This window comes from Homo sapiens, chromosome X (assembly GCF_000001405.40).
Source record: "Homo sapiens chromosome X, GRCh38.p14 Primary Assembly".
Lineage (NCBI taxonomy): Eukaryota > Metazoa > Chordata > Mammalia > Primates > Hominidae > Homo > Homo sapiens.
The window spans coordinates 147,013,575-147,023,764 of record NC_000023.11 but is presented as its reverse complement, the minus strand read 5'-3'; the positions used below and the strand labels follow the sequence as shown (position 1 = coordinate 147,023,764).

Genomic DNA, 10,190 nt, shown 5'->3' with positions numbered 1-10,190 from the left:
TTTTTTAGGATGCAAATTGATATTTCCTCTTAATTTGTATGTACTTTGCCACAAAATATATTCAAAATGTTAACTGGGCAGTGTCTCTTCAAAAAGTTTATGAACAATGATGTATATTATGAAAAAACTATGCATGGATTTCAAATTTTTTGCAACAAAATAAACCTGTTCTAACTTGTTTCATGTCTGACAAGGATCCAGTTTGAGGTACCAAGAAGTGTAAGATATTAGCTCGAAAAGAGGTATCAAAGCAACATGAATTTTGCTAAAATTCAAGCAAGAACAAACATCAAACTTATGTTGAAGCTTAGGGAAAAGAATGGTAAAATTATTGATGTTTTATGAAAAGTTTATGTGGCAATAGCTCAAAAAATTCGCAGTTTACAAATGGATAATTTGTTTAAAGATGGGGCAAGGCATTGTTGAAGATGAAGCCCACAGCAGCAGACCCTCCACAAAAGTTTGCTAGGAAAAGTTAATCTTGCTCATGCTCTGAGTAGGACTGACGATTAACAGCAGAAACAATACCCAACACCGTAGCATCTCAGTTGGTTCAGCTTATGCAATTCTGACTGAAAAATCAAAGTTGAACAAACTTTCCACTCAGTAGGTGCCAAAACCATCACACTCAAATCAGTTGCAAACAAGAGTGGAGTTTTCAGTGGAGATTTTAAACAAGTGGGATCAAGATTCTGAAGCATTTCTTCAAAGAATTGTAAAAAAGATGAAATATGGCTTTACCAGTACAATCATGAAGACAAAGCAGACCCAAAGCGATGGCTACTAAGTGGTAGAAGTGTTGTAGGCAAAGCGAAACAAGTCAAGAGCAAAGGTCATGGCAAAAGTTTTTTGGGGATGGTCAAGCAATTTTGCTTGAATACTTTTTGGAAGGCCAAAGAATGACAACATCTATATATTATGAAAGGGTTTTGAGAAACTTAGCTAAACTTAGCTAAAGCTTTGCAGAAAATCACCCTGGAAAGCTTCACCAGAGAGTCCTTCTCGACCACAGTGCTCCTACTCATTCCTGTCACCAAACAAGAACTGTTTTTTGTTTTGTTTTGTTTTTTTCCCAGTTTAAAGGAACAGGGTCTTGCTATGTTGCTCAGGGTAGTATCGAGCTGCTGGGCTCAAGTAATCATCCTACCTCAGCCTCCCAAAATACTTGGATTATAGGCATGAGCCACCATGCTTGGCCCAAACAAGGACAATTTTGCAAGAGTTTTGATGGGAAATCATTAGGCATCCACCTTAACATCCTGATTTGGATCCTTCTGACTTCATTTTGTTTCCTAATCTTAATATATCTTTAAATGGTACTCATTTCTCATCAGTTAATATTATAAGCAAGATTGTATTGGCATGGTTAAATTTCCAGGACTTCAGTTCTTTAGGAATGGACTAGATGGCTAGAATTATTGCTTTCAAAAGTGTCTTGATGGGCGCGGTGGCTCATGCCTGTAATCCCAGCATTTTGGAAGGACGAGGCGGGTGGATCACCTGAGGTCAGGAGTTCAAGACCAGCCTCATCCAACATGGTGAAACTCTATCTCTACTAAAAATACAAAAATAAGCCCAGCGTGGTGGTGGGCACCTGTAATCCCAGCTACTGGGGAGGTTGAGACTAAAGAATCGCTTGAACCTGGGAGGTGGAGGTTGCAGTGAGCAGACATCACGCCACTGCACTCCAGGCTGGATGACAGAGGGAGACTCCATCTCAAAAAAACAAACAAACAAACAAAAAAACAGTGTCTTGAACTTGTTGAACGTGATGGAGCTTATGTTGAGAAATAGAGTTTACATTTTTATCTTTTAATTCCATTATTCCACAAACTTTTTGAATTCCATGTATCACATAAAATGCTGACATATGAGTTGAGATTTGGCTCACTAGGTCTTTTGGACTACTATGTGGACTCCATTACTAGAAGCATACAGTAAAACAGGAAATCCATTGTCATGATGCACTGTACCCTGTACTGACAGAAAATTTATTCCAAGAGCCCTCTAATGATTACAGTTACCCAAAAAATGGAATGCACTACATGGATAGGTTATGAAGTTTTCCATAGTTGAAGTTTTCAGTGGCAGTCAGAGTTTTTGCTTGGTAAGAATCATATTTTTTTTTTGATTGGTAAATAATTTTCAGTAGCAAACCTAAAACCAGTAATAGATCCCCCCTTTCTACTCTACCACAATACTTACTAGTTACGGACTATGAATCTATAGTATCAGGAAAAATATTTTCTCCATCTTTTACCTTGTGGTTGTCACAAAGTACTTATTTCTAAACATCAACCTGAGAACTAAGCTCTGATGTTTTTTATCTTGCCTAAATTCCTATCTGAGAGGTCTGGAGAGCCATGCACTACAAACCATAAATTCTCATCAGATGGGTTTTATTTAACCCTATATATCATGACTTACTTTCCAATCTGACTCTAGCATAACATTGTTACCGGGGGGTTCCTTGCTCACAGAGCTCCCAAGATGGTGGCGAGCCACTTCCAAGATGATGGCGGGCTGCTTCCAAGATGGTGGCAAGCCTCATGTTCTCTGACCTGGGGTTCTTGGCCTCACGGATTCCAAGGAATGGAATCTTGGGCCATGCGGTGAGTGTTATAGCTCTATTAGAAGCCGTGGGTCACGGAAGAGAACTGTTGAACCCAGTGATGAGTGTTCAGCTCGATTAGGACGAACCCAGGCACTTAGCCATGCACAGGAACAATGGCAAGCCCTTAGCATGATCGGGAGTGGCAATGGGAGTCTCACTGGATCAGGAGCACAGCGGACACCCTGCCGGATCTGGAGGGATGGGAGTCAGCGGCGGGATGGGAGTCAGCAGCGGGTCTGCAACAGCGGCAAACAGCAGTGGTCGACGGCAAGCGAAAGCTCAGCTTGAGCCTTAACAAACACGGACCAGAAGAGTGCAGTTGCAAGATTCAATAGAGTGAATCAGAGTGAAAACAGAGCACCCATACAAAGGGAGGGGACCCAAAGGGGGGTGCCGTTGCTGGCTCAAATGCCTGGGTTTATATCCCGATCCTTGTCCCTCCCACTGTGGTCTCAGGCAATAGATGATTGGCTATTTCTTTACCTACTGTTTTTGCCTAATTAGCATTTTAGTGAGCTCTCTGATTTGTTGGGTGTGAGCTAAGTTGCAAGCCCTGTGTTTAAAGGTGGATGCAGTCACCTTCCCAGCTAGGCTTAGGGATTCTTAGTCGGCCTAGGAAATCCAGCTAGTCCTGTCTCTCAACGTTATGTGACAAAGAAGAAAGTCAAAATATTTTACCCCAAATCTTGTTTCTTTTCCCTATCTTGAAATGGCCCTGCAAAGCTGTCCTTCATGTGGGAAAATTTACATCTGTAAAGAATCTCTGTTAACATAGCCAGATCTTTTTCTTCCAGACCCTTCCAATCCTAAAGAGATTAACTAAGAATCTAACACCTTTTAAAGATTTGAATAGAAAACACTTGTCATCTATTGTCTCTGAGGGCAGCCACTATAAGATTCAAAAGAACCTCAATCTCCACAATCTTTTATCTTAACCTGAACATTTCCTTTCTATTGATTCCAGGTCTTTAGACAAATTCCAACAATTGCCAACCAGAAAATGTTTAAATTTACCTATGGCCTGGAAGATCCCCCCGCCCCCACAGCTCCCTCCCCTCTTTGAGTTGTCCTGCCTTTCTGGACAAAACCAATGTATTTCTTAAATGTATTTGATTGATGTCTCATGCCTGCTAAAATGTATAAAACCAAGCTGGGCCCTGACTACCTTGGGCACATGTTCTCAGGACCTCCTGAGACCTATGTCACGGGCCACAGTCACTCATATTTGGCTCAGAATAAATCTCTTCAAATATTTTACAGAGTCTCTTTTTGTTGACAAACCATAATAATAAAACTTATAATATTTTATTATTAAAAAGAGTTTTTTTATTATTAACTGATCTTCATTTCTGTACTTATATTTGTAACAGTAGGAAACACATGTGAATGCGTATTTGCTCAAGCTGCATGCCTTCAGCCTTCTAAATCCTCAGGGAAATACTTGAATACAAAAAGAAAAAGGTATGTCTCACACCACATCCCATTAACTCTTAGAACTTAAATTCAATATACCAAAAAAAAGGTCACTTAAGTCAACGAATGTCTCCAAAAGCAAGGTCATAAATGAAATTGTTTTGCTTCCTCTAGTGTCCCTGAGCATATTGAGACCAGGTTATGGCTCTTCAACAGAAGTAATTCTGCTTTATAAAAAACAAACAAACAAACAAAACCAAACCTAGTGAAAGCATCAGATTCTACCTTTGTCTAGTTTTGCCTAAGCAGTAACCTTTGCTTCTTAGCTATTCTACCAAAATGTAAACTGTTAAAAGACATTCACTGTCCTGGAGGTCCTTTGAAAGTCTAATTAATTGAAAAACAGAAAGTAGGAACCTCTCACAGTGGCCTTTCATGAAGAGCAACCAAGTTTTACCAAAGGCGTTATGTGCTATCAGTGCTGGTTGTCTACTTGTGGGAAAGCAAAACCTAATGGAAGTAGAACAGGTTTTGGAGCCTAACATTACGTTTGTAAACTACATCACCACTGACTTCCTGAGTAGCCGTGCACAAAGTTATTTATGTTGTCAACGTTTCACTTTCTTCATTAATAAAATTGAGATAATAGCTAACTGAGAGAGTGTCTTTTGATGATTAAATGAATCACATACAAACAAGCAAGTGTAATACTGTCTGGAATCAAAGAGATAGTAAATGAAGAGAAAATGTTATTAGTAACCTCTGCTTTATTGTGGGTAGTACACATTTTAGAACAAGAAATGTCTCCTTATTATAGGCACTGAGAGGAAATATTTGTTTCCACATTACCAATATTTTATCACCTGGAAATTCAATCTCCTTGACATATGTTCACAGCCTATGTCAAAGATGAATGTGAAAGATCTGGAGATTCTCTTCATTGCTTTCATTAACATTCATTAGTGTTGTTTTCGTATGTAAGTTCATATTTTTAGTGACTTTCCAAATATTTAACAGGAATGTTTATCAATGCCTTCAAGTGAGACAAAGAAAACAAAAGGCACACATGGCCTTGGCATCTGTAGCAAATGAACATAAACTTGCAAATTTGGGATCTCCCAAGTTAATGAAATATAAAATAAGCATCGTGTCCCAAGTCATGTCATGAGAAATTTAGTAAAGTCAACATCCAAACCTGCACTAATTCCTCTGTTCCAATTATCGTTGGGTATCTACAGGCTATTCTTCCCCTTTTTGAGTTTCTTTACTTTAAAACTATTGACTCTCACAGGCATACAAAGGATCTTCTACCTAGAGTGTTTTTCTAAGTTTTCTCTGCCTAATTAAATTATGTGTTTCCTCAGTTCAATTTTTACCTCCTTGTAATAGGCTTCCTTGATGGTCTCAGGCTTCAGACCTCATAGAGTTTATGGTAATTATTGTGTGTGCCACTAGGGTTGAATTTATCATGTTCTTGTGTCTAAGCCTTCTACCCTTCAGTTGACCCAGTACCTAGCACAGGGCTCTACAAATAGGAAATGTGCAGCACACTTTTGCTGCTGTACACAGCTGGTCTCTCATTGTTCTAGAGTGAAACAGTCATTTATTGGACATAAGAAGCAAGTGGCGGGGGCTACCAGAAACTAAGGGAAGTGGGCCGGGCATGGTGGCTCACGCCTGTAATCCCAGCACTTTGGGAAGCCGAGGTGGGTGGATCACCCGAGGTCGGGAGTTCAAGACCAGTCTGACCAACATGGAGAAACCCCGTCTCCACTAAAAACACAAAAATAGCTGGGTGTGGTGGCGCATGCCTATAATCCCAGCTACTGGGGAGGCTGAGGCAGGAGAATCACTTGAACCTGGGAGGCGGAGGTTGCAGTGAGCCGAGATCGCGCCATTGCACTCCAGCCTGGGCAACAAATAGCGAAACTCCATCTCAAAAAAAAAAAAAAAAAGAAAGAAACTAAGGGAAGTGGAGAATGCAAAGTTGTTTAATGAGTATAAACTTTCAGTTATACAAGATACATAAGTTTTAAAGATCTGCTGTACAACATAGGGCCTATAGTTAATAATACTGTGTTGTACACTTAAACAATTGTTAAGAGAGTAGATCTTACATTACATATTCTTACAATAACAACAACAAGAAAACATAAAACAAAAAGGCAAAAGAAAACCTTTGGAGCTAATGGATGTATCAATTACCTTGATTGTGGTGACAGTTTCATCAGTACATGCACATCTCCAAACTCATTAAATTATATACATTAAATATGTACAATTTTTTGTATATCAATTATATCTCACAAATTGATAAAAAGGATATATTGGAATAAAAAATGTCAAGGGACAGAGTATCACAGAGAAAGAGGAAAGTGTCAGATTTTATAATTTTGAATACGTAAAATACTGCCATATCTGCAGTCAGCACAAGACCTAAACAGTGATGTGCCACCATACATATGGCCAGTAAAAGAAAAACCATAAAACAAATAAACGAGCAAAATCGCTTTACAGTATGGTATTGGTGTTGCCTCTTGAAACCTGAGAGAAGTCTGTTTTTATTTTTTGCTCAAGCTGAACATTCACTGTGCCTTGATTTTACTCCCTTGGAGCATACAGTCTAAGCTGACAGGACAAAGACTATAGCTCAGAAGTCTCTCTAACCTCCCACAACTCAATGTTTAACCTACTGTTTTTAAACACAGCAGTGTTCAGTGAATGCCTGCTAAACCAGTGGCCTTTAATGTGCAGTACATGCCCCTGTAGGTAACAAATTTCCAAATGTTCCAGAGAGATACTACATCTAAGAACATTAGTTATTTGATCCTCTGCTTCCTTATGTACTCTCTAAAACTCACCTGTCAGAATACCCCTCTGGTCCAGGCCTCATGCAGGTTCTGCTTTCACATGTCCACTTCAAAATTGAAATTATACTTCTTCCAATTTACAAAAATAAAAAAGGCATCCAACTAACATACCTAGATTCTTCCTTGAGTGCCTTAGGTTGTACTGACAGCCTCCCGAGGTGCTAAGCAAAGAGGAAATTTGGAATATCAGTAAAACTTCCTTTAAACAAAGAATGGCAGTAGAAATCTGGTGTGTGGACTTATCTGGGGATGTTCTGAATTCAGATATACTGTGGCATGGGGTGGGATAGAAAAATATTATTTAATGAACTATACCTTCACAACCCAAGTATTTTCAAAGAATTCACTGGTCAGTGGAATTTTGTGAGAGCAAAACAAACAGAACACTGTTAAGAAATGTGGAAAGTGGTGGTGCTGTATTTCAGATAGGTGACAGACTCAAGGTAATGCCTTGTGTATTTTCCATCTTAAATTTTAAAGGTGAGAAGCAGTCATGGAGATGCTATTAATACACTTACTTGAATTGGAAGAAAATGAACTCAGGCATTTTCTGAAAAAGTAAGTCTTATTGGTTAGCAATGAATACTGTTTTGACAATTAATTTATTTGATAATAAAACTCCAAATTTTTTGCAAATGTAGATTCAGGGAGAACAATACATTTGTTTATTACATAGGTATTACCTACATAATAATGAGGATTGGGCTTCTAGTGTATCCATCACCCAGATATACACAGTAGGTAATTTTTCAACTCTTATCCCAATCCCCTAACTTTGGAGTCCCCAGAGTCTATTTTCTTCATTTTTAGGTCCATGTGTACCACTTGTTTATCTCCCACTTAGAAATGAGAACAAGTGATATTTTATTTTCTGCTTCTGTGGTAGTTCACTTCTTATAATGGCTTCCAACTCCATCCATGCTGATGCAAGAGACATGATTTCATTATTTTGTATGGCTGTATGGTATTCCATGGTGTACATGTGCCATATTTTCTTTATCCAATCAACTTTTGGTGGACATTTAGGTAGGTTCCATGATGTTGCTATTGTAAATAGTGCCACAATAAACATATAAGTGCAGGTTTATTTTTTATTTAATAAGTTCTTTTCCCTTGGGTAGATACCCAGTAGTTGGATTTCTTAATCAAATGGTAGCCCTACTTTTAGTTCTTTAAGATATCTCCATACTGTTTTTTTTGTTGTTGTTGTTTTGTTTTTGAGACGGAATCTCGCTCTGTCACCAGACTGTAGTGGCACGATCTCGGCTGACTGCAACCTCCGCCTCCTGGGTTCAGGCGATTCTCCTGCCTCAGTCTCCTGAGTAGCTGGGACTACAGGCATGTGCCACCATGCCCAGCTAATGTTTGTATTTTTAGTAGAGACGGGGTTTCACCATGTTGGCTAGGATGGTGTCGATCTCTTGACATCATGATCTGCCCGCCTTGGCCTCCCAAATTGCTGGGATTACAGGTGTGAGCCACTGAGCCTGGCCTTCCATACTGTTTTTCAAAGAGGTTGGACTAATTTACATTTCCACCAACAGTGTATGAACATACCCTTTTCTCCACATCCACACTAACATTTATTGTGTTTTTAACTTTTTAATAAAAGTCATTTAGACTGGTGTGAAATGTCATTGTAGAGTGGTTTTAATTTGCATTCCTCTGATTATTAGTAATGTTGAACATTTTTTCATGTGTTTGTTGACTACCTGTATTTCTTCTCTTGAGAAATGTCTGTTAATAATCTTCACCCACTTTTTAATGAGATTATTAGTGTTCATTCATTGTCATTGAGTTGTTTTGAGTTCCTTGTAGATACTATATAATAATTCTTTGTTGGAGGCATAATTTATAAATGTTTTCTTCCATTCTGTAGGCTGTCTGTTTATCCTATTGATTACTTCTTTTGCTGAGCAGAAACTTTTTAGTTTTATTAAGTCTCATTTATTTTTGTTTCTGTTGCATTTGTATTTTGATTCTTCATCATAAATTTGTTGCCTAGCCCAATATCCACAAGATCCCTAAAATAATTTTTTCTAGTATTATTATAGTTTCAGGTTTTAAATTTAGGTCTTTAATTCATCTTGAGATAATTTTTTTTTATATGTTGAAGGACAGAGGTCCAATTTCTTTCTTCTGCATATGTCTAGCCAGTTTTCCCAGTACTATTTATGACATAGGGCGTCTTATCCCAGTTGTTTATTTTTGTTGACTTTATTGAAGATCAGTTTGTTGTAGGTATGTGGCTTTATTTCTGTGTTCTCTATTTGTACCATTGAATTATGTGACTATTTTTGCACCAGTATCATGCTGTTTTAGTTATTGCAGCCTAATAGTATAATTTGAAGTCATGCAATCTGATGCATTGTTTTTTTTTTTTTTGCTTAGGATTTCTTTGAATATTCAGGCTTTTTTTGTTCCATATGAACTTTAGAATTTTTTATAATATTTCTGTGAAAATGACACTGATAATATGATAGAAATTGTATTAAATGTGCAGATTTATTTGGATAAAATGGTCATTTAAATGATACTGAGTCTTCCAGTCCATGAGCATGGAATGTTTTCTCATTTATTTGTGTCATTTACAATCTCTTTCATGAGTGTTTTGTAGTTCTTTTTTTAAAGATACTTTATCTTTTTGGTTAAATGTATTCCTAGGTATTTTATATTTTTGTGGCTATTGTAAAAGAGACTCAGTTCTTAACTTGGTTCCCAGTTTGAATGTCATTGGTAAATAGAAATGCTATTTCTTTTTTTAAAATTTAACTTTTATTTTAAGTTCAGGGGTACATGTCCAGGTTTGTTATATAGGTAAACTTGTGTCATGGGGGAGGGTTTGTTGTACAGATTATTTTGTCACCCAGGTATTAAGCCTAGTACCTATTAGTTATTTTTTCTAATCCTCTCTATTTTCTCATCCTCCACCCTCTTACAGGCTCCAGTGTGTGTTGTTTCCCTCTATATGTCTATGTTTTCTCATCATTTAGCTCCCACTTATAAGTAAGAATATGCAGTATTTGGTTTTCTGTTCCTGCATTAGTTTGCTATGGATAATGGCCTCCAGCTCCATCCATGTTCCATCAAAGAACACGATCTCATTCTTTTTTTTATGGCTGCATAGTAATCCATGTGTATATGTACCACATTTTCTTTATCTAGTCTACCATTGCTGGGCATTTAGGTTTTGATTTCTTGACTTTGCTATTGTAAATAGTACTTCAGTGAAAATATGTGGGCATGTTTTTTTTTTTTAATAGAATGATTTATATTCCTTTGGGTATATATCC

The 10,190-nt window shown here is 37.7% G+C and overlaps 1 annotated feature.

Annotated features, from left to right (window-relative positions):
* Positions 2,969-3,766: an enhancer, noted in NCBI's record as "OCT4-NANOG hESC enhancer chrX:146101517-146102314 (GRCh37/hg19 assembly coordinates)". NCBI's record gives its function as "activates a minimal SCP1, AML or CMV promoter by ChIP-STARR-seq in naive and primed H9 embryonic stem cells {active_cell/tissue: H9 hESC(naive and primed)}" and the evidence as "EXISTENCE:reporter gene assay evidence [ECO:0000049][PMID:30033119]".